Source organism: Homo sapiens, chromosome 18 (assembly GCF_000001405.40).
Source record: "Homo sapiens chromosome 18, GRCh38.p14 Primary Assembly".
Taxonomy (NCBI): Eukaryota; Metazoa; Chordata; class Mammalia; order Primates; family Hominidae; genus Homo; species Homo sapiens.
In genome coordinates, this window is record NC_000018.10 from 50,227,193 (window position 1) to 50,254,963 (window position 27,771).

A 27,771-nucleotide genomic window follows, 5' to 3' on the forward strand; every position below is an offset into this window, starting at 1 on the left:
TTTGGATTTGTAAGTCTGTGAACTCCAAAATAGGCACAGGTTTATTCAAAGGAAGAAAATTATGTTCAATTAATTACACAAACTCAGGGAAAAAAGAAAAGTTTATCCAGGAGTTAAAAGAAGCATACAAGCATACTGTAGTTAAAAATATTAAAAGACCAAGAAAAGATATATTGATGCTCACGGAACTACGGTGGAAGCTTACTGGGGCATGCCTTGCGCATGGGATGAATGTTTTGAGGCAGCACTTGATGGGTGGACAGGACCTCCTGGACCTTGTCCAAACACATCTTGTTTGCTGCTACACCTGCTTCAAACTCTCGGCGTTTCTCTTCCTTCTCTGCTTCTTGGGACTGCTGCTGGTAGGCGATTTGCATCTGAAGTTGCTTCCTGTACTCCTGGGCTAAACGTTGGCGTCTAAAGTATTAGAAATGTCAAAGCATAAAATTATAAAAGTAAGCATTTAGATTTATTCAGAGCATTACAATTAAAATATAATTTGTAAAGTCAAATTAAATTCCCATTAAAATCAGGGTGAGTGGAGAAGAAATAGATGAAAAACTCAATAATGGGTTTCTTACATAATAATCATTAATATAATCCTAGGACAAATATTGATTTTAGAGAGGAAATGCTTCTTCCCTGCTCGTAATGTTCACTGCTATGTGGTAATGGTCCTTGGTTTGCCTCCATCCCTTCCCTTACTCTTCTCTATGGGTAAAATTGGAGAGGATAAGCAAACTGCTCAATTCAACTTTTCTCCTTTTTTTTTTTTTTTTTTTTTTGAGACGGAGTCTCGCTCTGTCACCCAGGCTGGAGTGCAGTTGCGTGATCTCAGCTCACTGCAACCTTCGCCTCCTGGGTTCAAGCAATTCTCTGCCTCAGCCACCCAAGCAGCTGGGATTGCAGGCGTCCGCCACCACACCTGGCTAATTTTTGTATTTTTAGTAGAGATGAGGTTTCATCATTTTGGCCAGGCTGGTCTCAAACTCCTGACCTCAAGTGATCTGCCCGCCTCAGCCTCCCAAAGTGCTGGGATTACAGGCGTGAGCCACCACACCTGGCCAGCTTTTCCCCTTTCATCTCGGAGGCTGCTCCGCCTGTTTTCTGCTCTGCTGTAGATCAAAGGGCCACATCCCCGCACAAGAGGCCTGCAGTGATCTCATGCTGCTGGGGACTGGGTGGGTAAGTTAGCCTTATCTTATCATTCTGTTCAGTATTAACTAGATAATTTCTTGCATAAATAAGCCACATTTTAAATATATGACAGTTTTTTTATTTATAGTATAATTTTTATTGTAATAAAAAACACATTATGATGGGCATGGTGGCTCATGCATGTAATCCCAGCACTTGGGAGGCTGAGGTTGGGTGGATCACCTGAGGTCAGGAGTTCGAGACCAGCCTGACCAACATGGAGAAACTCCGTCTCTACTAAAAATACAAAATTTAGCTGGGCATGGTGGTACATGCCTGTAATCCCAGCTACTCAGGAGGCTGAGGCAGGAGAATCACTTGAACCCAGGAGGCGGAGGTTGCAGTGAGCCAAGACTGCGCCATTGCACTCCAGCCTGGGTAACAAGAGTCAAACTCCATCTCAAAAACAAACAAACAAACAAAAAACAAAACAAAAAAATTTACATAGGTCATACACCTAATAATCCCAGCACCTTAGGAGCCCAAGACAGGAGGATCACAGGAGTTTGAGACCAGCCTGGGCAACATAGGGAGACCTGATCTGTACAAAAAAATAAAAAACTAGCCAGGCATGGTGGCATGTGCCTGTGGTCCCAGCTGAAGTGGGTGGATTTTCTGAGCCCAGAAGGTTGAGGTTTCAGTGAGCCATGATCACACTACTGCACCCCAGCCTGGGCAACAGAGCAAGACCTTGTCAAAAAACAAAAACAAAAACAAACAAACAAAACCCACATAACAAATTTACATCTTAACCATTTTTAAGTGTACAGTTCAGTAGTTAAGTCTCCATATTGCTGTAAAAGAGATCTCCAGGACTTCTTCATCTTGCAAATCTGAAACTCCCTCCCCTCTTTTCTCCCCACAACCCCTGGTAACCACCATTCTACTTTATGTTTCTATAAATCTGACTACTTTATATGTCTCATAAAAGTAGAATCATACAGTATTTGTCTTTTTGTGATTGGCTTATTTCACTTAGCATAATGTCCTCCAGGTTCATCCATACTGTGGCATGTGACAGGATTTCCTTGCTTTTTAAGGCTGAAAAATATTCCATCATAAATATATACCATGTTTTGTTTATCTATTCATTTCATTAATAGACCCTTGGGTTGCTTCTACCTCTTGAATACTGTGAATAGTGCTATGAATATTTCTGTGCAAATATCTCTTCAAGACCCTGCTTTTAATTTTTTGGACATATACCCAGAAGTGGGTTGCCAGATTATGTAGTAGTTTTAATATTTATTTTTTGGAGGAAACTCCATACTGTTTTCCATAATGGTTATATAATTTTACAATTTATAAGCCACATTTTTTTCTTTGTAGTCTCTTTCTTTTTTTCTTTTTCTTTTTTTTTTTTTCAGACAGGGTCTCACTCTTGTCACCCAGGCTGGAGTACACTACTGGCACAATCACACAATCATGGCTCACTGCAGCTTCAACCTCCCAGGTTCAGGTGATCCTCCCACCTCAGCATCCCAGGTATTTGGGACTATAGGTGCACACAACCACACCCAGCTAATTTTTTTGTTGTTGTTGTATTTTTTTAGAGACAGAGTTACACCATGTTGCACAGGCCGGTCTCAAACTCCTGGGTTCAAGAGATCCACTCACCTTGGCCTCCCAAAGTGGTGGGATTACAGGCATGACCCACCATGCCTGGCCTCTTTGTAGTTTCAATGGCTAGAAATATAAGCCACATTTTTAATATCAGCTGTGGTATAATAAGAATTATATTTGATCTTTGTTCCTAGTTCTTGGCACAGAGCTCCTACAACTCTTGTAATTTCCTGAGTGATAAAAGTATCTTTTGTAATTCATAGGAACACCCAATTTTATGCTAATAAGCTGACTTAGGGTAGGGCCCCTGGGTGGCCTCAGGATGGGGTTGGTCACTAGAAAGACCAAGTGATGAGGGGGTTAGGACTTTCAGCCCCACCCACTGACCTCTTGGGAGGGGAAGGTGGGGGCTGGAGATGAAGCTCTAAAAACTCTTGAACAAGGATGTTCTGAGGGCATCTGTGATGGTGACACAGGGAGGTGCTGAAAGGATGGTGCACCCGCAGAGAGCACGGAAGCCCCTATGCATCTCTTCCAGTTGGCTGTTCCTGAGTTGTGTCCATTGTGATAAACTGGTAAACACAAGTCAAATGTGTTCCTGATTTCTCTGAGCAATTCTAGCAAACTGTTGAACCTGAGGAGGAGGTCGTGGGAACCCCCAATTTATAGCTGGTTGATCAGAAGGTGGTCTGGGACTAGCATCTGGTGTCTGAAGTGGCAGCAGTTCTGTGGGACTAAGCCCTTACCCTGAGGGGTCTATACTAACTCTGGGTAGTTACTATCAGAACTGAATTGAATTCTTGGACACCCAGTTGGGGTCTGGAGAATCAGAGAATTTGTTGTTGGGGTCAGAAAACACTCCATCAACTTTTATCAGAAATAAAGATAATAGAATTTTATCAGAAATAAAGATAATGTGGATACCCCTCTATGGCAGATTCTATTTTCCAAAGATGGCCACAGTACTGTCTCCCTCCCCATATGTGTATCCTATTTAGGGAAAAGGAATCAGGCTGGCGGAACCAGGATAAAGCAAAGAGATAAAGCAGTAAGCTATAGGTCTGCCTTTGTTCATGGCCCAGGACATACAGCCCTCCTGTGCAGATAACATACAAAACTCACAAACTTCTGCTTAACATCAAATGCTTCGATTTATCATCAAACACCTCGGCTGACAGAAGAATGCAAGTTAGCTCCCTGCTACCTTGGTGTTATCAAGTAGCCCAAGAACCATCCTATAAAATCTCTGGCAAGCCTTTGTTTCCTGGCAGTCAGCTCCTCTCTTGCTGGCTGCCCATTGCTTTCTTGCACTGAGTTTTCCTACTTTCTCTAATAAATCTGCCTTTCTTTACCTACAACTGTCTTGGTAAATTCTTTTACCCCTGCACCACTGACCCAGATAGTCACTGCTCACCCACATTTTGGTAGCCTGTATGGGAAACTCTCTCCTTATGAGGAAGCCTCTGGCCTCTCTCTTTCCCTTTCCCAACTTAGGAACCTCAGTGGACAGTATCTACCCAGAGAGACAATTGTAGGTCTCTAGCTGGAGCTACCTACACTCCTGTGGGACTGAAAGGTATCCGTGTGGAAGCATCTAACTACCACCTGTTCAGGTGAGGGACCTGAGTTTACTTTCTCTTTTCAGCCTTTCAGCAGCTGGCTTTTAGTATCTCTTTGGCAACTGACAGTAACCAGCTGTGGCTACTATCCGGTGTTGCCTGAAGGCCAAATAGCCACCTGGCCTGGAAGAGAGGAAGGCTTCCTCCTATACTCTCTGGTCAGAAGTCCCTAATCCCTACGTGTGATGCGACTGGCAGCAGAAGCTCATTCAGAGCAAATTCACACATTTTGGGTGACTCAGACACTCTTTCTCACTCTGAATCCTCCTGTGGAGTCAGCCAGCCATTCTGTCCCAGATGTTGCTAAATCAGGTGATCTCAGACAGCCTCAGAACCATGAGTTTTCCCTTACCCACCCCCTCTCCTGGGCCAACACAGGCAGAGTCCTCCCTTCACCCATTTTCCTTGTACCTGGACTGGCCATCCAGCATAAGGCCCCTGAGTGGCCGAGGGGACTTTCTTAATAGGTGGGACACCCCTTTAGAAAGTGCACCCCAAGTTCCTCAGTAGACCTAAGTGGAACTGCTTTTCATCTCGGCTGGACATCCTGAGAGAAAGTGCAGTTTGTGCCCCTGAGTTGCACCATCCCCAAGCAGCATGTTTTCTAGTCCCACCATGGGACAAACCCCATCTATTCCTTCAGACTCACTTCTGGGTTGTATCCTAAAACATTAAGACAAATTTAACTCTCAAACCCTCAAAAAGAAATGTCTAATTTATTGTGTAACACAGCATGGCCCCTATGTAGAAAACCATCAAATTAGCCTCCTGAGTCCTTTACAACTGACAGCAGAATAAGGAGGACAGGGCTAAGAAGAAAGAAAAATGCAGAGGCAAGAGACAGGCTCAACTGTTGGCTGCTTTACAAGCCCCAGCCCCTCCAGGTTTCCCTAAAAATACATTCCTTCAGATAACTGCCATCAGTGCAAAACGCCAGGTTACTGAAAGGCAGAGTGCCCCAGTGGAATAAATTTTAAAAGCCCTGCCTGGCTTACTCTCTCTGCCACAAGCTCAGCCACTGGAAAAAAGACTGCCCTGATGATCAAAGGGCCCCCAGGACAGAATCTCAACCCCTAATGGCCTTATGCTAAATAGGCTCTCTGCTCTGTCTGGAAACAGCTCACCTTAACTGATAACTTGCAAAGTTGGGAAGAATTTATCCCACACCTTGTAGGTCTGGGGTGCTAATGCTCTCCCTGGCGGGAGATAAACAAAAGTGGCAGGGGTACTGACCTTGCACTGTGCAGTGGCTGGAAGGCTCACAAGCCCTCCTGTAAAGCCTGACCTTTTCCTCTCCATTCCTTCCTTTTCTTTTTCTCTTTTTCTGTTCAATCCAGGGGTCCAGCCTTAAAAGGGAAAGACAGTTTCTAACATCCTAACCCCTGATTTTGTCATTCTCTTTAAAACTCCAGCTGGTTACATATTATGGTACATTTTAAACTAACGGGCAAACTACAACAAGAAAAAGTCAGAGCTCAAATGGTTAACCTGCACTATAAAGTTAAGTGAAGTCTTCTATAGCTCTCTATCTTCCTTTTTTTCTGCCTGCTTTAAATCTGCTGTTACTAAGGTCCTGGTGCTGAGATAAAACTCATTCTTTGTGGTCTAATTAGAATGCAAACATCGAAAACTCATTTAAAGTTAAAGAAAAAAAGGTAAAAGAGGTTTTGTTCAAACAACCCAGAATTTTTAAACCTCCCTTAAAAATAAAAAATAAATAAATAAATCCAACACCTCCTTTAGACCTTACTCTTAAGGCTGACTCTTTTTATCCAATTCTACTACAGGCTTTCAGTAATTATCCAACTGCCTCACTTAAGCAGCGTCACCCTCTTAATATTGATGCTTTTATAAGGGAGGTAGTTTACGACTGCTATTTGCAAGCGGACTTCCAAGATTACCACCCAGATGAATTTTTTTGTATATTTGTCCTAGTAATGTCATTTACCCCCACACCACATCAGTGTGCTAAGGTACTAGGTGTTTGGTTAACTGTTTTTCTCATATTCTTTACAGCCCTTCTTCTCGCCTGTCTCCCTGAGTTTACTACATATTGTCATTTTCCTTAAAAATGGCTTTGTTTTTATTCTATCACGGCTATTGCCTCCATGGCTGGAGCCAGGCACTTACTCCTCCCAGTAATATTTCAGGTTGCTAACATAACACACAGCACTAACTTCTGGATATGCCCATGCGGACAGGCACTCAAAGATAACATTATATCCTAGCAGTCCCGCTATCCATAGAAGAAATTACTAACAAGCCTGATACTCTGGATTCAACTACACCATTTACACACACACCAAAAACACAGGTTTAGGAGGGGAGCCTAGGCCAATTGATTCCTCATGGCAATCATCCACTGTGACGGAGCAGATTGGGAAGGCACCAGAGATGGCCTGTAAGGTTCACCTCTGCATCAGAAAATCCGAGGGATCTGGCCCTTTTATAGGCACTTGTAAGGCTCACCTCTGCATCAGAAACTCCAAAGGGTCTGGCCCTTTCCTAGGGTGTTTAACATAAGCCCATTGTAATTACACCCTCAACTATAATCAAACACACCAGGAATGGAAGCTATATGACAACAATGACAAGTTCACTGTGTACCTCTGCAGGTTTTCTCTATGGTGGGGAAACAACAAAGTTAATGCCAGCAAAATTTATAGTGATCCTTTTATGCCTATAAACAGTTCAGCTACTGGGATAGAATATATAGGAATAGGGGTTGAGATTGGACAACTTCTCAACCTCACTAATACATCTACAACTTTCTCTTGATTTTCCGTTATCTCATTAATGTTTAAAACTCTTATCTGCCAGGCCCCACATTCATATAACACAAGTAAAACTTTCCTCCCTTATGCATGAATGACTACTTTCTAGGTCACCACCCAGCCACATTTGATCCCTGGGGACCATGGGATCCCTCTATTTATGCAAATTATACTGGAATCCAAACTAACCACACCTATGCCTGGTTACAAGGTCCCTCCTCAGGAGTTTCTTTAAAAGGAACTGGGCTCTTCTTTTTGTGTGGATCCAACATTTTTCCAGCCTTGCCTATTAAATGGAGAGGACGTGCACTATAGTTGCAGCAATACCTGGAGTACATATATATAACTCCTTAGACTTTATAACCTCTGGCCAAGTTCCAAATTTGTGATCCTTCCTAAGTTGGGCCCTTCAAAGGCCATCAGAAGAAAGGAAACAGAAACGGGATTTAATCAACCTTCCATCATTTGGCATCCTCACCACTGATGATCTCATTATAGAGAGGAATGGTCTAGGACATTCTGTTGCCCATGCAGTCTTTTGGTTTGCAGGTATACCCATGCTTGAGTGCAGCATTTGTAATATCACCATCTTAGTCCAGCAATCTTGAGAAGCTAAAGTCATGGCCATCAAGGCCCAATAACAGGTCCTAAATTCATTGGCAGGGGTTGTCTTGCAAAACTGATGTGCTGTGGATGTGCTTAACGCTGAGGCAGGAGGCACCTGCATGCTGTTAAATGAAACTTGTTGCTCTTACATCAATACCTCAGGTCAGGTAGCAAAAAACTTTAGAAAAGATAAAAGAAGACATCAAAGTATTAGAGGGCCCTCAAAAAGGAGTTCCTGAAGATTCCTTTCTGGCACAGCTATTTCAAAGCTTCTCCAGCTGGGTTTGGCTATGGGTTGCCCTACTTCTCCCATCTATAATAAAGCTCATATTGGCTGGGTGCGGTGGCTCACACCTGTAATCCCAGCACTTTGGGAGGCTGAGGCAGGTGGATCACCTAAGGTCAGGAGTTTGAGACCAGCCTGGCCAATATGGTGAAACCCTGTCTCTACTAAAAATTACAAAAATTAGCTGGGCGTGGTGGCATGCGCCTGTAACCCCAGCTACTTGGGAGGCTGAGGCAGGAGAATCACTTGAACCTGGGGAGGCAGAGGTTGCAGTGAGCTGGGATCACGCCACTGCATTCCAGCCTTGACAAGAGCGAAATTCTGTCTCAAAAAATAATAATAACAGTAAGATTCATATTACTTTATCTGTGCCATGTATTGTTAATGCAGTATCTTGTTTTGTGATTTCTAGAATACAACAATTTCAAACCAAAATGTTACTGCAGTGAGGGTATCAGCCACTTAGAGAACTCCATGACTCTCCTTTGGATGCAACAGGACAATATTTTAGGCTGCAAATGCTGTTCCCCCATGGTCCCACAGCCACCCTGCCCAATTTAATTCCCAACCCAAGGATTTAGGTCCATGTAACCTCCTGACCAACTAACAATCCTAGGTCGGGCAAACTATACACCCCTGGTGGGCAAGAAGCAGTTGGAAGATGAGACCTTCATCCACATGCCAAAGATTTGTCATTGTTGCTCTGTTGGGGGAAATGTAGAATCCTATTTAGGTAAAAGGAGTCAGGCTGGTGGAACCAGGATAAAGCAGAGATAAAGCAGTAAGCTATAGGTCTGCCTTTGTTCATGGCCCAGGACATACAGCCCTCCTGTGCAGATAACATACAAAACTCACAAACTTCTGCTTAACATCAAATGTTTCGATTTATCATCAAACACCTCGGCTGACAGAAGAATGCAAGTCAGCTCCCTGCTACCTTGGTGTTATCAAGTAGCCCAAGAACCATCCTATAAAATCTCTGGCAAGCCTTTGTTTCCTGGCAGTCAGCTCCTCTCTTGCTGGCTGCCCATTGCTTTCTTGCACTGAGTTTTCCTACTTTCTCTAGTTAATCTGCCTGTACCTACAACTGTCTTGGTAAATTCTTTTACCCCCATGCCACCAGCCTAGTTATGCGCTTCAGCAATGCAAACCTCTACTACCCTGTCAAGAGGTGGAGCTTCTATCTCCATCTCCTTGAATCAGGATGGGCCTTGTAACTACTTTTGGAATATGGTAGAAGTAATGCTATGCCAGTCCCAGGTGTAGCTCTTAACTGGCCTGGCAGCTGCTTCTTCCTAGCTCTTGGAATACTTGCTATTGGAACTCTCCCTCTCAAAACAAGCCACCATACTGTGAGAAATCCAAATCACATGGAGAGCCCACACATAGGGGTTCCAGGTGACAACTAAAACTCCTAGTTGATAACTGAGATCCCTGACTACAGTCAGCATACACTGCCAGCTATATGAGTAGGTGTCCTAGGTTGAGCCTTCAGATGAATATATAGCCTCAGTCATGTGGATCTGACTTCAATGACATGAGATGTTCCGAGCAAGAACTACCTAGGTGAGCCGTGTTGACCCACAGAATCATAAGAGATAATCATAAATTGCTTTAAACCACACATTTCAGGGTGTTTTGTTATGTAGCAATAGGTAACTGTAATACCTCTGCCCATAATTTCTTCCTTATCTCTCCACCAATTCAGAAGTTTAGCAGGGAAGAGATGTGATATTTATTGAGTCCTCACAAATCTCCAACAGAAGACTTTTTAAAAATGAGAAAGAGGCCAGGCGCAGTGGCTCACGCCTGTAATCCCAGCACTTTGGGAGTCCGAGGTGGGTGGATCACGAGGTCAGGAGTTCAAGACCAGCCTGGCTAAGGTGGTGAAACCCTGTCTCTACTAAAAATAATAAAAATTAGCCAGGCATGGTGGTGCATGCCTGTAATCCTAGGTATTTGAGTGGCTGAGGCAGAGAATTGCTTGAACCCGGGAGTCGGAGATTGCAGTAAGCCAAGATTACACCACCGCACTCCAGCCTAGGTGACAGAGCAAGACTCCATCTCAAAAAAAAAAAAAAAAAAAAAAAAAATATATATATATATATATATATACGCACACATATATATACACACACACACACACATACACACACACACACACACATATATATATATATGAGAAGGAAAGATTTCCACAGCAGAGGCAGTAGCAGGAACTCAGAACGGTAGGCCAGATGTTGTTGTTTGTGACCCCAAAGTGAGAATAAGATCAGGCACATTAACCATACTCTTTCTAGAAAGAGAAGAGCTAATTTCTATGCACCAAGTGTGAGTAAGTCAAAGGACAGGCCCCAGGAACAGGGAGGGTGACCAGTAATCAGAGAAGCCGGGTCCTCTTCCTCCACTACACTGGCTGCCTGATTTAGGTATCATGGCCACCAGTGGGAAGAGACTGAGATGGTATAAGAAAAACTGCAGGGAGGTAGCTGCCTGTTTCCCCCACCTGAGCCTGGTTGTGGTGATCAGAAGGACACTAACCAATCCCCAGCCTAAGGCCTGTCAGAGGAAAGCAGTGGTATTTCCCAAAGCATCCAGAGTGTTCTAGTGCAGTAAGGCTAAACACGTCCTCCTAGGGACATTTGTATGGAATCCTGTCCCTATAAGCCATTCTGCTAATCTAGCTGATTAGGCCAGCCTGCTTTTCAGGATTTGTTTCATGGAGGAAAAAAAATCTTCTTGCTATTTTATTAGGATTTAAGGTTGGTGCCAATTTTTTTAAGTGTTTCAAATTTATTTTATTTTTAAAGATATTCATCCAGCCTAATAACTTATGTGTATAATCATAATATACATAATGGCAATGGAATTTAATTTTACCAAGACAGTTGGTGCCTACTTTTACATGAAATTTTGTAAACTGCTTTGAGCGTCTAGAAGGACAAGTGTAATACTAATGTAAAATAATGTCAATAATGCATGAATTATGGCACATGGTCTTTATGTTGAAAATCTGTTTTAGTTTTTGTTTTTTTGAGACAGTTCTTGCCTGTTGCCCAGGTTGGAGTGTAGTGGCACAATCATAGCTGCAGTGTTTAACTCCTGTACTCAAGTGATCTTCCACTTCAGCTCCCAAGTAGCTAGGACTACAGGTCTATGTCACCATATCTGGCTAGTTTTTATTTTTATTTTTTTGTAGAGATGAGATCTTGCTATACTGCCCAGGCTAATCTCAAACTCCTGGCTTCAAGCAATCCTCTTTCCTCAGCCTCCCAAAGTACTGGGATTACAGGTGTGAGCCACCATGGCTAGCCAAAAATCCATTTTTTAGGTAGCAAATGATGATACAGAAAACAAAATCATACCTTGCAAAATTCTCCTTCTCTTCACAGTTAAGTTCTTTAAGACTTTCATTTATGTGTTTCTGTTCCATAGCACGTTCTTCCTGTTCTTTAGCTTCTCGTTGCACTAAGAAAAGCAAAAGTAATTATATGTCAAATGACTTTCAGACAAGAATTGCCAACATCTTTCTGGGCACCAGAGTCATATTGTCTTTAGAAAGGCAGAGCTTAGAATCAAGGCTGGATCTTAGATTGATAAAGTAGAAGTACACATCTCAATTGAGAAATAAATTGGGTTTAGGCTCATATATGCTACAATCTAGATTTTCTGTTCATCATTTTTCATTGAAAATCTATAATTACCCTTTTTCATACCAGATTACTAATGTTAAAATACTTCCTACTTTTCTCTCCTTGAAGACAAACAGTTCATTGCCATTCATATTAATAAAAGTTTATTATAAATAATTTATTATTTATTATATATTTATTATAAAATAAATATTATTTAAATATATAAAGCTCTTGGCTGGGCACAATGCCTCATGCCGGTAATCCCAGCATTTTGGGAGGCTGAGGCAGGTGGGTCACCTGAGGTCAGGAGTTCGAGACCAGCCCGGCCAACATGGTGAAACCCCGTCTCTACTAAAAGTACAAAAATTAGCTGGGCATGGTGGTGCGTGCCTGTAATCTGAGCTGCTCAGAAGGCTGAGGCACAAGTGCCTAGATCGTGCCACTGCATTCCAGCCTGGGCAACAGAGTGAGACGCCGTCTCAATAAATAAATAAATAAATAAATAAAGCTCTTGTAAGTTAAAAATATTTAAGCATCCCAATAGAAAAAAAAGACAAAGGAAACAGAGTTTACAAAATAATAAATACAACTGGCTAATATACATCTGAAATGTATATATCTTTGGTACCACAGTCTATTTCAGAAATTCATCTTAAACAACCAGTTACAATCCAAAAATAAGTATGTATGGAGATGGTAATCTGGAATTCTAAAATAACAGTAAAAAGATTAGAAACAATATAAAGAGTCATTGCTGTGTTTAAGTAAAATAAGTTACGGTCTGTTTTTATAACAGATTTGTAGGCAGTCATTACAAATCTTATAATTGACAAAAAATGACTTAAAAATATTTTTGATAAGTGAAAAATATAGACCATAAAACAGTATATACTACATGATTCTAATTTGTGAAAGAAAATTATATATGTAGTAAAAATACTAGAAGAAAATACACAAAGCTGTGAATAGTAGCTATTCCTGGGTGGTAGAATTATGGTTGATTTTGTTTCCTTGTTTATAAATGGTCTCAATAAATTTTCCATGTTTTTTCAATATTTTCTATAACATTTATCACTTGTTAGATATGAGTTCTAAATTTATCTTCAAAGAATCAATATGTCAGTATGTTCAATTCTTTGCCTTCTACTTTTAAACTTAACTTCCTCATAAAGTGACCTTTTTTGATCAACTGCTCCACCCTGACTCATTCAGATTACCTGCTCCACCCTGACTCATTCAAATTACCTGCTCCACTCTGACTCATTCTGATCATCTGCCCCACCCTGACTCATTCAAATTACCTGCCCCACCCTGACTCATTCAGATTACCTGCTCCACCCTGACTCATTCTGATCACCTGCCCCACCCTGACTCATTCTGATCACCTACCCCACCCTGATTCATTCAGATTACCTGCTCCACCCTAACTCATTCTGATTACCTGCTCCACCCTGACTCATTCCAATTACCTGCTCTGCCCTCATTCTCTACCCTGACTCATTCCATAACCATTTTTCCTGCCAAACCACTCACCCCATCACTCTCTTTAAATTAGCCAATCAGAATTAGTTTAGCCTGTGCAGTCCAATCCTAGCCAATAGCGGAATGACACAGCAGCAGGGGCCACGTGAGTCAGGAATAAGAACTTCTTCCCCTCCCTTGCCCAGATGTGCTCTCGCTATTGTTCCATCTGTGACTGAGCACCCTTTCTGCAGGAAGTAAAGATGGTCTTGCTGAGAGATCATCTCTCTCTGTGCTGACTTTTCCTCGTGGCACTGATTGTCTATTTCTAACATCACTGACGAATATAAAAATCTTTTCAGCATATAAACTTTCTACGCAGTTTCTAAAAGTTCCATCTAATATTGGCTTAACAATTTTCTACTGCTATTGTAATTCCTGGAGTGAAGAATTAATGAATGGGACCAGGATGAGCTTCCTCTTGCAAAGACCACTGGTGCGAAATCCAATGGTACCCTAACAAGAAATGTGTTTATTGCCGCTCTGGTCCATTGGGCTGGACATGGAAATGGCAGAAATCTGGAGGTGGAAATTCACCCTCTCAACAAACATCCTTCTGTGACCAAGCACTGCTTGAAGCTGAGGGAACATAGTGGCATACTGTAGTATAATAATAAGAGACATAATGTGGCTATAAGATTAATGGTAGCCATAAAGTTAACTTAAGCATCTCGCAGGGCTGACACTATGTATCACTTAGCAGTATGATGCAGCCTAGGCCAGGGATTTCCAAGAGACAAAGGTCATCTCAGCACAGATGTAACTTTCAGAAACCTTAAAACAAAGCTTACCCTTACAAGAATAGCTTAAACTCCCTTTATGAAAGAAATACCTAGTAACCAATGTGGATTGAATGTAAGTATTAAAAAGGGGAAAGATTCTCCAAACTTTGAGTATGGTCTCCAAATAAAGACCCTCCTGGCCAGTTGGTCATCTGAGATGTGAGCAAGCCACAGTGCCCTGGAAAGAGGATTTATTTTAAATGGGAGAACACAGAGGGCCGCTCAAGGCATGAGTCAATTGAGCTGGCATTGAAAGATATCTAGATTTCTCATGATCAAGAGCATCATAGGCAGAGACAACGACATAAACAAAGGTATAGCATTGGGGGAACCAGCCCCCAATATTTCAACGTAGGTCCTTTCTATTTTCCCTAAGTGTCGGCTGGTCTGAGAAATAAAGAGAAAGAGTACAAAGAGAGAAATTTTATAGCTGGGCCTCTGGGATGTCATCACATATTGGCAGGACCATGATGGCGACCTCAAGCCACAAAACCAGCAAGTTTTTTTTTAGGGATTTTGAAAGGGGAGGGGGTGTACAAACAGGGAGTAGGTCATAAGGATCACATGCTTCAAAGGGTCATAAAGATCACAAGGAGAAGGCAAAATTAGAATTACTGATGAGGGTCTGCGTCCCACTGTGCACGCATTGTCTTGATAAACATCTTAATAGGAAACAGGGTTCGAGAGCAGAGGACCAGTCTGACTAGATTTCACCAGGCTGGAATTTCCCAATCCTAGTAAGCCTGAGGGTACTGCAGGAGACCAGGGCATATTTCAGTCCTTATCTCAACCGCATAAGACAGACACTCCCAGAGCAGCTGTCTATAGACCTACCCCCAGGAATGCATTCCTTCCACAGGGCTATTCCTTGCTGGGAAAAGAATTCAGCAATATTTCTCCTACTCGCGTTCTGCAAGAAGAAAAACATGGCTCTATTCTGCCCGACCCCGCAGGCAGTCAGACCTTATGGTTATCTTTCCTTGTTCCCTGAAAATTGCTGTTATTCTGTTCTTTTTCAGGGTGCATTGATTTCATATTGTTCAAACACACATTTTACAAACAATTTTTACAGTTAACGCAATCATCACAGGGTCCTGAGGTGACATACATCCTCAGCTTATGAAGATGACAGGATTAAGAGATTAAAGTAAGACAGGCATAAGAAATTATAAAAGTATTAATTTTGAGAACTAATAAATGTCCATGAAATCTTCACAATTTATGTTCAGAGATTGCAGTAAAAACAGGCATAAGAAATTATAAAAGTATTAATTTGGGGAAGTGATAAATGTCCATGAAATCTTCACAATTTATGTTCTTCTGCTGTGGCTTCAGCCGGTCCCTCCATTCAGGGTCCCTGACTTCCCGAAACTGTATGGAGATAACTTTCGAAAGAAAAGAGGGACAGATACAAAGGACAAGGGGGAGCTGTATGTCTGTGCCCCACCTTCTCACTCTTCATTCTAATCACCAAGACATACAGTATTCAAATGATGTACTGTTCCTTTAACCTTGAGAACTTCTCCCCGTGACTGATTGGAATCTGCTGGTCTCTTCATATATATCCAATTAGATAAGATTTGCAATAACAGGCCTCCTGCCTTCATCCTTTTTGCATCCCTCATGGTGTTTTACATAATAAGTATTATGGTTGTTAGTATTTTGGTTGTTACTTAAATTGAATTAAGGGCAAGCTATAATATAACTGTAATTCAGTTCCTTACACTTTTCTTGAACTTGAAGTTTTCTTGTACACATGACCTCATCCACAAGCTGTCTCCTTGCCTCCTTTTCAAGTCTCAGCTCCTTGTCCTTCTCAGCCAACTTCTTTGCCTTGTCTTCCTCTAATATTCTGTCAAATTCTTTCTCCTGAGCTTTTTCTTCCTCACGTCTCTGTGCCAAATATTTATGGTATATCTTCTGTTCTCTTATCATATCTTCCTATGTAACATAAAAATTCATATTGTTAAAATTTTTTGGTGTGATACTATAGTAAGGATACATTTAAAAAAAATCTTTAAAAGCTCCAATCCCAATCTTTTAGAACTATGTACTGAAACATTTACAGATGTATGTCTGGAGTTTATTCCAAAATACTCAAGAGTAGCGGGGGAAATGGGTAGGGATATAGAAGAGACAAGAATGGCCATCAGTTGATGGTTGTTAAAGTGAGGTGATGGACACGTGGGGACTCATTGTGCAATTCTTTGTATTTGTTTAAAATGTTTGATAATAAATGTTTGAATAAGTTAATTCAAACACTTTCCCAAAGTGTTTCTCAAAGTAGTTGCCAAATAGTTTTCAATGATACAGCTTTATTTTCATTTACTTTAATTTAGGTATATGAAATCCTAATCTGATCAACAAAATAAGTTACTTCTACTATTAGAGCACTGTCTCTCTGGCTGGTAGTCATTTTGTGCTTTATTACAGCAATTCTCAATCTTAGCTACACTTTGGAGTCACTGGGGAGCTTTACAAAGTATTGACATCTGGCTGGGCTCAGTGGCTCAAGCCTGTAATCCCAGCACTTTGGGAGGCCGAGGCGGGTGGATCACGAGGTCAGGAGACTGAGACCATCCTGGCTAACATGGTGAAACCCCGTCTCTACTAAAAATACAAAAAAATTAGCTGGACGTGGTGGTGGGCGCCTGTAGTCCCAGCTACTCGGGAGGCTGAGGCAGGAGAATGGCGTGAACCCAGGAGGCGGAGCTTGCAGTGAGCCGAGATCGTGCCACTGCACTCCAGCCTGGGCGACAGAGCGAGACTCCGTTTCAAAAAAAAAAAAACAAAAACAAAAAAAATCAAGGGCCGAGTCCCACCCCCAGAAATTCCTAATTAATGGATACCTTTTACGTTCCCCCAGGTGATAGTAATGTGCAGCTAAAGTTGAGACCTGCTGTTTATTTAGCGCAGGCATTTTTAGTTGGCTACTGCCATGTTGCAGTAACTATCCAATAGCAATGAGTTCATCCAATACCAAGGTTGTAGATATTATTAAACACCTGATATGGTTTGGCTCTGTGTCCCCATCCAAATCACATCTTGAATTGTAATTCCCATGTGTGAGGGGAGGGACCTGGTGGGAGGTGATTGGGTCATGGGGGTAGTTTCCCCCATGCTGTTCTCATGATAGTGAGTTCCCATGAGATCTGATGGTTTAAAGTGTGGCTTTCTTCATTCCCTCCCTCCTGTCGCCAAGTAAGACGTGCCTTGCTTCCCCTTCCACTGTGATTTTAAGTTTCCTGAGCCTTCCCCAGCCATGTGAAACTGTGAGTCAATTACACCTTCTTTTTTAAATAAGTTACCCAATATCAGGTAGTTCTTTATAGCAGTGTGAAAACAGATAAATACCATTTCCCACTAAAAAGAACCAACAATCCTTGGGAAAATAATCAATATAAGACTGGAGCAGAAACTGAACAGGATGAACCTGGTACATCTTATTGTGTCAGAATCAAGAAAACTATCAAAGTCTGTTGGTGGACAGTATCAAAAGAGCATGACAGCCCACTTGAAGGGACTCTCATGATCTAGAATCAGGCAATCTGAGCACCAAAAAGAAGAGTGAACTAATAATCCACTAAAAAACTATTGAAACTTGGCCAGGCATGGTGGCTCATGCCTGTAATCCCAGCACTTTCGGAGGCTGAGGTGGGCAGATCACTTGAGGTCAGGAGTTGGAAACCAGCCTGGCCAACATGGTAAAACCCCGTCTCTACTAAAAATACAAAAAAATTAGCTGGGTGTGGTGGCACAAGCCTGTAGTCCCAGCTACTTAGGAGGCTGAGGCAGGAAGATCACTTGAACCTGGGAGGCAGAGGTTGCAGTGAGCCAAGAACATGCCACTGCACTCGAGCCTGGGTGACAGAATGAGACTCTATCTCAAAAAAAAAAAAAAAAAAAAAACTATTAAAACTAATAAGGCTGGGCGCGGTGGCTCACGCCTGTAATCCCAGCACTTTGGGAGGCCGAGGCGGGTGGATCATGAGGTCAGGAGATCGAGACCATCCTGGCTAACAAGGTGAAACCCCGCCTCTACTAAAAATACAAAAAATTAGCCAGGCGCGGTGGTGGGCGCCTGTAGTCCCAGCTACTCGGGAGGCTGAGGCAGGAGAATGGCGTGAACCCAGGAAGCGGAGCTTGCAGTGAGCCGAGATTGCACCACTGCAGTCCGCAGTCCGGCCTGGGCGACAGAGCGAGACTCCGTCTCAAAAAAAAAAAAAAAAAAAAACTAATAAACGAGTTTAGCAATGTTGCAGGATACAAGACCAATATACAAAACTCCTTGTATTCCTATTTGACAGCATCAATCTAAAATGAAATTAAAAATTTTATTTCCAAATAGAAATGTTATACTTAGGAATAAATTTAACAAAGTAAGTGTTAAAATGTATACTCTGAAAACTAAGAAACATTATTGAAAGAAATTAAAGTAGACCTAAATAAATGGAAAGACAGCTTAAGTTCATGAATCAGAAAACAATACTGTGAAAATGACAGCACTTCCCAAACTGACCTACAGGTTCAACACAATCTTTACCAAAATCTCAACTGGCTTCTTTGCAGGAATTGACAAGCTGATCCATGTAACTTCCAGATACCTGGACATGCAAGGGAGCCAGAATAGCCAAAACAATTTTAAAAAGAACAAAGTTTGAGGATTTACATTTTCTCTCTCTCTTTTTTTTTTGAGATGAAGTTTCACTCTGGTTGTCCAGGTTGGAGTGCAATGGTGGAGTGTCACTCTTGTTGCTCGGGCTGGAGTGCAATGACACGATCTCAGCTCACTGCAACGTCCGCCTCCCGGATCAAGCGATTCTCCTGCCTCAGCCTCCCAAGTAGCTGGGATTACAGGCATGGGCCACCATGCCTGGCTAATTTTTGTATTTTTGGTAGAGACGGGGTTTCACCATGTTGGTCAGGCTGGTCTCAAACTCCTGACCTCAGGTGATCCTCCTGCCTCAGCCTCCCAAAGTGCTGGGATTACAGGCGTGAGCCACTGCACCAGGCCAGGATTTACATTTTCTGATTTCAAACTTACTACAAAGCTACGGTAATCAAGACATATAGATTTGTTATACTGGACTAAGGATAGAGATATAGATTGATGGAATAGAACTGAGTGTCCAGAAATAAACCTTCACTTTACTGTAATTGATTTTTGACAAGGGTGATAAGACAATTCAATAGGGGAACAATTAGAGAATTATTTCAACAAATGATGCTGGAATAACTGGATATCCACATGAGGAATAATGAATTAGGATCCTTATCTCATGCCATATACAAAACTTAAAATGGATCAAAAGCCTAAATGTAAAAGCTAAAATTATAACACTCTAACAAGAAAACAAAGAAGTACATCTTTGTGATCCTAGAGTAGGTAACCATTTTTTAGATAGGACCCCTAAAGCATAAGCAACAAAAGAAAATATAGCTAAATTGAACTTTGTCAAAATTTAAAACTTTTGTGATTCAAAGGACATCATCAAAAAAGTAAAAAGACAACCTATAGAATGAAAGAAAATAATTGCAAGTCATTTATCTGGTAAGAGACTTGAATCTAGAAAATATAAAGAACTCTTGGCCAGGCGTGGTGGCTCACGCCTGTAATCCCAGCACTTTGGGAGGCTGAGGTGGGTGGATCGCCTAAGGTCAGGAGTTCAAGACCAGCCTGGCCAACATGGTGAAACCCCGTCTCTACTAAAAATACAAAAAAATTAGCCAGGCGTGGTGGCAGGCACCTGTAATCCCAGCAACTCAGAAGGCTGAGGCAGGAGAATCGCTTGAACCTGGGAGGTGGAGGTTGCAGTGAGATGAGATTGCACCATTGCACTCCAGCCTGGGCGACAAGAGTGAGATTTAAAAAAAAAAAAAAGAACTCTTACAATTCAATAATAAAAGGACCAATAACCCAACTAAAATATGGGCAAAGGACTTGAATAGACTTCTCTAAGAATAGAGAATAGCCTTCAAATAGACTTCTCCAAGGAAGATCTACAAATGACCATAAGCACAGGAAAAGAGGCTCAATATCATTAGTCACTAGGGAAATACAAATAAAAACCATAATGAGATACCAATTCAGATGCATTAGGCTGGGTAAAATAAAAAAAACAGACAATAACAAGTGTTGGTGAGCATGTGGATAAATCAAAACCCTCATACACTGCTGGTGGGAATGTAAAATGGTTCAGCCACTTTGGAAAACAGTTTGGCAGTTCCTCAAAACTTCAACACAGAGTTACCGTATGGCCCAGTAGTACTACTTCTAGATACATGCCCCAAAGAAAAATAAAAACATATGTCCACACAAAAATGTGTACATGAATGTTCATAGTAGCATTATTCATGATAGCCAAAAAGTGGAAATAACCCAAATGTCCATCAACTGACATAATGCATAAACAAAATGTGGCATATCCATACAATGGAATATCATTCAGCCACATAAACAAATAAAATAGTGATTCATGCTACAATGTGGATAAATCTTGAAAACATTATGCTAAGTGAAAGAAGACAGTCAACAGGTCACATAACATGTGATTCCATTCATATCAAAGTCCAGAATGGGGAAATCTATAGAGACACAAAGTTGATAAGTGGCTGCTTAGGACTGGAGGCAGGAGGTGGGGAAGAAGGGATAGCAGGATAGTGAAAATGTTCTAAAATAAAATGTGATGACAGCTGCACATATCTGTGAAAACAGTAAAATCCACTGAATTGTATGGTTTAAACTGGGGAACTGGATGTTATGTGAATTCTCTCTTGAAGCTGTTAAAAAAATGATTTAAATGTGAACAAAAAACTCAACAGGAAAAAGAAATCAAATAAGCAAGTCAATTAGATAATGGACAAAAACCAGGAGTTGGAGGCTGCAGTGAGCTATGATCATGCCACTGTACTCCAGCCTAAGTGACAGAGTGAGATACTGGCTCAACAAAAATTAAAAAAAAAAAAAAAAACAGAAAATGGGCAAAAGACATGAAGAGACATTTCATTGAAGAAGACATACAGATAGAAAACAGGCTCATAAAAAGTTGTTCAAAATCATTAGCCATTAGGGAAATGTAAATTAAACCACAATGAGATGTTACTACACATCTATCAGAATGGTTAAAAGTGAACAATAGTGATAGCACCAAATGCTGGTGAGGATGTGGAGAAACTGGATTGCTCATGTATTGCTGGTGGGAATGTAACATGGTATGGCTACTCTGAAAAACAGTTTAGCAGTTTCTTTAAAAAACTAAACATGCAATTACTATATGACATAGCAATTGCTCTTCTAGGCATTTATCTCATAGAAATGATGATTTGTGCCAGGTGTGGTGGCTCATGCCTGTAATCCAAGCACTTTGGGAGGCTAAGGTGGGTGGGTCACTTGAGGTTGGGAGTTTGAGACCAGCCTGGCCAACATGGTGATATCCCATCTCTACTAAAAATAGAAAAAATTAGCCAGGCATGGTGGCACACACCTGTAATCCTAGCTACTCAGGGGGCTGTGGCAGGAGAATCACTTGAACCCGGGAGGTGGAGGTTACAGTGAGCCGAGACCATGCCACTGCACTCCAGCCTGGGTGACAGAGCAAGACTCCGCCTAAAAAAAAAAAAAAAAAAAAGTGAGAATGTGTTCACAGAAAAACCTGTACTCAAATGATTATAGCAGCTTTACTCATAATAGCCATAACCTGGAAACAACTCAAATGTCCTTCAACAGGTAAATGGCTAAACAAACTGTGGTAAATCTATACCATGAACACTACTCAAGAATAAATTGGGAGGCCGAGGCAGGTTGATTACCTGAGGTCAGGAGTTTGAGACCAGCCTGGCCAACGTGGCGAAACGCTGTCTCTACTAAAAACACAAAAATTAGCCAGACGCAGTGGCACCCGCCTGTAATCCCAGCTACTCGGGAGGCTGAGACAGGAAAAGCGCTTGAACCCATGAGGCGGAGGTTGCAGTGAGCCGAGATCACGCCACTGCACTCCAGCCTGGGCAACAAGAGCAAAATTCTATCTCAAAAAAAAAAAAAAAAAAAAGAATAAAAAGAAGGCTGGGTGCAGTGGCTCATGCCTGTAAACACAACACTTTGGGAGGCCAAGGCAGGAGGATTACTTGAGCCCAGGAGTTCAAGACCAGCCTGGGCAGCATAGTGAGACCCCATCTCTACAAAAAATAAGAAAACTAGCTGAGCATGGTGGCTTGTGCCTGTAATCCCAACTACTCAGGAGGTTGAGGCTGAAGTATCAGTTGAGCCTGGGAAGTTGAGGCTGCAGGGAGCTGAGACCACACCACTGCACTCCAGCCTGAGTGACAGGGCAAGACTGTCTCAAAAAAAAAAATTAAAAAAAAAGAAAAAGAAAAAGAAACAACTATTGATAGATCCAAAAAGTTGGACAAATCTCCTGAGGGTTATGCTAAGTGAAAAAGGCTATCTGAAAAGATTACACACTATATGATTCTACTAATATAACATTCCCAAAATAATAAAATTATAGAAATGAAGAACAGGGTTAAGAAGGGGGTGGGGCAAGAGGGAAGTAGGTGTGTCTATAAAAGGGCAATATGAAAGATCCTGGTGATGATGAGATGTTCAGTATCTTGATTATATCAATGTCAACATCCTGACTGGCATGGTACTATAGTTTTGCAAGATATTACCATTGAGGGAACCAGAGTAAAGGGTACAAGGAATCTCTCTGTATTATTTCTTAAAACTGCATGTGAATCTACAATCATATCAAAATGAAAAGTTTATCCAGGCACAGTAGTTCACACCTGTAATCCCAGCACTTTAGGAGGCTGAGGTGGGAGGATCACTTGAGCCCACTCCAGACCAGGCTGGGCAACTTGGCAAAACCCTGTCTCTACAAAAAATACATAAATTAGCCAGGCTAGGTGGTGGATGTCTGTAGTCCCAGCTACTCGGGAGGCTGAGGTGGGAGGATTGCTTGAGCCCAGGAGGGCGAGGCTACAGTGAGCCATGATTATGCCACTGCACTCCAGCCTGGGTTACAGCGTGAGACCCCTGTCTCAAAAAAAAAAAAAAAAAAGAGAGAGAGAGAGAGAAGTTTAATTAAAAATCAAAGTACATGCACACTAAGAACCAGGTAAAAACAAGAAAAAGCACTTGTGGGAGAAACAAAACACTCTTAAAAGTTCAATCCAAATTCCAAACGTATAGGTAGTTAACTCAATACTGAATGCCTTTCCCTTCTCTTTTTGCCTGACAAAACTTTACATATCCTTTAAGGTCCAACTCAAATGTCACTTTCTGAGTAATGTCTTTCTCAAATTCCAGGAGTTCTCAAACTTTAGTTAGCATCAGAATCACCTGGGGGAGTGTGCTGAAACACAGATTTCCTGCCCCTGTCATGATTTTGATTGGGAGATCCTGATTCTGGAGCCTGGGAATTTCTGTTTCTAACATTTTCCCAGATGGTGCTGATGCTGTTGGCTTGTGGACCACACTCAGAGTAGCACTGCTATATATTTGAAGCCATCTTCCACAAGACTGAGAACTCAGTAAGGAATCCCTTCCAGCAGGTAGCAGGCACCAAAAAAATGTCTTACTCTTTTTTGTTTCTTTTTATCTGCCTCTTCCTGTAAGTCTTGAAGGGCCCTTTGCACGAGCTTCATGTTCAAGTCCTGTTCGTCTCTGTATTCCTGCTGAATATGTTCTATCCTCTCTTGTAGGGCTTTTTGCAAAATGGTCCTAGTTTCCTGCTTTGCCTTCTGTTTCTTTAGCATATCCTGTTCATTCTCATGTTTAATCTGTGCGTTGTTACTTTCCTAAGGTAGAATCATAATAAAGATAATGCATCAGTACAGTTGGACAAGACAAGTTAGTGCATTTGACTTCAGAGATGGGAATAAAGGATTTCTGGAAATACACACACACCTGGATTTAGAGAGGCTGTAAGAAAGAAAACCTTCCTTTTCGTAGCTGAGTCAGCAATAAAACTGTGAAAATTGCCTGGGCATGTGTGATTATAATGTAATAAATAGTTGTAGAGTTGAAAACAGAAAAGTATAAACAGAAACTACTTTTAATCCCAGTACCCATCATCCACCACCATTCTCCACCTGTGGGTGCGTTGGCCTTCCACACTTGACCCTTCTATGAACTCTGCACCACACATTTGGATACATTATTAAACAGCACTAAGAGTCCAAAAATGGAAATGTGCCTGTGAACTAGCCCAGGCCATCAGACAAACTGTACTGTAACAGGCCTGCAAACTGTACTACACCCATGGCGTTGATCACCCTCTAACAAGCATTTTAAAGGCCCACCACAAGGCGTGCCTCCTCTTCCTTCAGCAGCTGTGTCGCCTGCCTTTGTGCCTTGATGCTGGTGATCTGGGCATTCAGCCCCAGGCGTGTGTTCTCCATCAGCTCTTTCTGTCTCCTCGCCTCTTGGGCTTCTCGCTTTTCCTTGGCTAATCGGTCTTCCTCCCAGAGTTTGGAGAACATCTGCTCTTCCACCAGCTTTTGCCTGCTCAGCTCCTCATTAAATGCAATCTGTGCTTTCCGCTCCTCACACACCTTCTTCTGATGGATAGATAACAATTCAACACGGAGCTCCTCACAGCGTTCCCTGAAAGGAAAATTTTAAAAAGACAAAACCCAGCCTTTCGTGAGGCACTGCTCTATTGAGGCACACATCTGTACAATCACACAATGAAGCAAGAAAAATCAGAGACCTGGATGCAGGCCATCGGAGCACAGGAAACAAGAGGGAGCAGCAGGGAGGGCAAGCACCAGGATGGCACAGCCTGACTATGAAAACTGGAGTAAAGCAAAGGCAGCCCTGACTCCATTTCCTGTGTGATCTCAGATCAAAAACTCAACCTGTTAACCCCAATGACTGACCTATTCACTTGACTTTGAGAACCCCTAATTTAGGGTTGCTTACTTTTTTTCTTTTTTTTTTTGAGACAGAGTCTCGCTCTGTTGCCCAGGCTGGCGTGCGGTGGCACCATCTCACCTCACTGTAAGCTCTACCTCTCGGGTTCATGCCATTCTCCTGCCTCAGCCTTCTGAGTAGCTGGGACTACAGGTGACCACCACCACGCCTGGCTAATTTTTTTGTATTTTTAGTAGAGACGGGGTTTCACCGTGTTAGCCAGGATGGTCTTGATCTCCTGATCTTGTGATCCGCCCACCTCAGCCTCCCAAAGTGCTGGGATTAGAGGCGTGAGCCACCGTACCCAGCTGCTCACTTTTTTTTTTAAGAGACAAGGTCTCACTCTGTCGCTCAGGCTGGAATGCAGTGGCGTGATCATGGCTCACTGCATCCTTGAACTCCTGGCCTCAAGTGATCCTCCCACCTTAGCCTCCCAAGTAGCTGAGACTATAAGCACATGTCACCGTGTCTGGCTAATTAAAAAATTTTTATTTTTGTAGAGACAGGGTCTTGCTATGTTGCCAGGGCTGGTCTCAAAATCCTAGTCTGAAGTGACCCTCCTGCCTCAGCCTTCCAAAATGCTGGGATTACAGGCATGAGCCACTACACCAGGCTGAGATGCTCACTATAGCTAGATAGGATATCTGGCCAGGCATGGTGACTCATATCTGTAATCCCAACACTTTGGGAGGCCAAGGCAGGAGGATCGCTGGAGACTAGGACTAGCCTGGGAAACACAGTGAGACCTTGTCTCTACAAAAGTTTTTAAAAAATTAGCTAGGCATGCTGGCACACGCCTGTAGTCCTAGCTACTTGGGAGACTGAGGCAAGAAGACCACTTGAACTCAGGAGTTTGAGGCTGCAGTGAGCTAGGACCATACCAATGCGTTCTAACCTGCACTCTAGGTCAGTAAGACCCTGTTTCTTTTTTTTTTTTTTTTGAGACGGAGTCTCGCTCTGTCGCCCAGGCTGGAGTGCAGTGGCACGATCTCGGCTCACTGCAAGCTCTGCCTCCCGGGCTCACGCCATTCCCCGGCCTCAGCCTCCGGAGTAGCTGGGACCACAGGCGCCCACCACCACGCCTGGAGAATTTTTTGTATTTTTAGTGGAGACGGGGTTTCACCGTGTTACCCAGGATGGTCTTGATCTCCTGACCTTGTGATCCACCCGCCTCAGCCTCCCAAAGTGCTGGGATTACAGGCGTGAGCCACTGCGCCCAGCCGTAAGACCCAGTTTCTAAAAAAATAAATTAAATGATAGACAGAATATTTATTTATTCTAATGATAATAATCATTGATAAGAGGAAAACTTTATGTTTGTGAGTGCTTTATAGTTTGCAGGTAGCAGGTATCATCCCCATCTTAGAGTTAAAGCAACAGAGACTCAGGGAGCCTAAGTGTCTTCCCAAGTCACATAACCAGTAGTAGGAATATTATTAGCAAAAGTTATTAAGTGCTTATTATCTGCCAGACACTATTCTAAGCACTTTAACACATATGAACTCTTGTAATCTTCATAATAATCAATATGGCAATGAACATTACTGCAAATTTATTTTTATTATTTTTATTGTCCTTGGTTTACAGATGAGGAAATGGAAGCACACAGCAGTTAAGCATCTTACCTAAGTTTGTCCATTTCATATGTGGTAGAACTGGGACTGAAGAGCTGGCAGTGTGGCCCTGGAGTCTGGATTCTTTGGTGTTTCATTGCATCACCTCTGCCAGCAACTGACAGAGGCAAGACTACCTCTGATCCACAGGCATTCTGACCAAACATCCTAGGGTATTCGTTAATAAAAACACCCCAAAACAAACCCTCGAAATGCCTACCTTAATCTGGGGTCTAATCATTAACCATGTATAATTACAGGGCATTTAAAAAGAAATTTCATAATGTACCAAAAGCACAATCCATAAAAGAAATATTGACAAATTTGATTTCATTAATATTAAAAGCTTTTGCTCTGTAAAAGATCCTTTTAATAGGATAAATAAGACAAGACTGCTGAATGTCTGGGGAAAGAAAAGAAAAAACCATTTAAAAAAAAAAGATAAGCTATAGTCTAGGAAAAAAACCACGTATCGGACAAAGAAGTACTGTCTAGAATACATAAAGAATCCTTAAAACTTAACAGCTAAAAAAAAAAAAAGGCAAAAACTTAGCAGCTAAAACAAGCTAAATTCTAAAAATCTAATTAGAAATGGGCAAAAGATATAAAGAGACATTTCACCAAAGAAAATGTACAGATGGAAAATAAGCACATGAAAAGTTGCTCAACATCACCAGCCATTAGGTAAATGCCAATTAAGCCCATGATGAGATATCACAGCACGCCTATTAGAACAGCTAAAAATAAAAACAAAACAAAACAAAACAATAACGCCACTACCAAAAGGACCAGGATGTGGAAAAACTGGATCTCTCATATACCGCTGGTGGGATTATAAAATGGTACAGCTACTCTAGGAAATAGTTTAGTGTTTATTAAAAAAGAAAAAATTACATTTATGGCTGGGAGTGGTGGCTCACGCCTGTAATCTCAGCACTTTGGGAGGCCAAGGTGGACGGATCACCTAAGGTCGGGAGTTCAAGACCAGCCTGACCAACATGGAGAAACTGCATCTCTACTAAAAATACAAAAAATTAGCCGGGCTTGGTTGGTGCATGCCTGTAATCCAAGCTACTCGGGAGACTGAGGTAGGAGAATCACTTGAACCCAGGAGGCAGAGGCTGCAGTGAGCCGAGATCACGCCATTTCATTCCAGCCTGGGCAACAAGAGTGAAACTCTGTCTCAAACAAAACAAAACAAATTTGCATATGATCCAGCAATAGTATATGATAATTATCCTCAATAAACAAAAACAT

General features: G+C 42.0%; 1 protein-coding gene across 1 annotated transcript in view, besides 1 other annotated feature; it reads right to left on the reverse strand.

The window, feature by feature from the left end:
* Positions 1-27,771, reverse strand: part of CFAP53 (cilia and flagella associated protein 53) — a 39,303-nt gene continuing 11,532 nt past the window's right edge. Inside the window, exons 4-8 of the mRNA NM_145020.5 lie at positions 24,289-24,592; positions 23,566-23,784; positions 15,708-15,924; positions 11,411-11,513; positions 1-417 (exon numbers count right to left, since the gene is read on the reverse strand). Coding sequence (NP_659457.2) covers positions 189-417; positions 11,411-11,513; positions 15,708-15,924; positions 23,566-23,784; positions 24,289-24,592 — 1,072 coding nt within the window. The 3' untranslated portion in view covers positions 1-188. The remainder of the gene's footprint in view (positions 418-11,410; positions 11,514-15,707; positions 15,925-23,565; positions 23,785-24,288; positions 24,593-27,771) is intronic.
* Positions 12,623-13,822: an enhancer, noted in NCBI's record as "P300/CBP strongly-dependent group 1 enhancer chr18:47766185-47767384 (GRCh37/hg19 assembly coordinates)". NCBI's record gives its function as "activates an origin of replication core promoter dependent on BRD2, BRD4, P300/CBP, MED14 and CDK7 cofactors, with strong dependence on P300/CBP, by STARR-seq in HCT116 cells {active_cell/tissue: HCT116}" and the evidence as "EXISTENCE:reporter gene assay evidence [ECO:0000049][PMID:35650434]".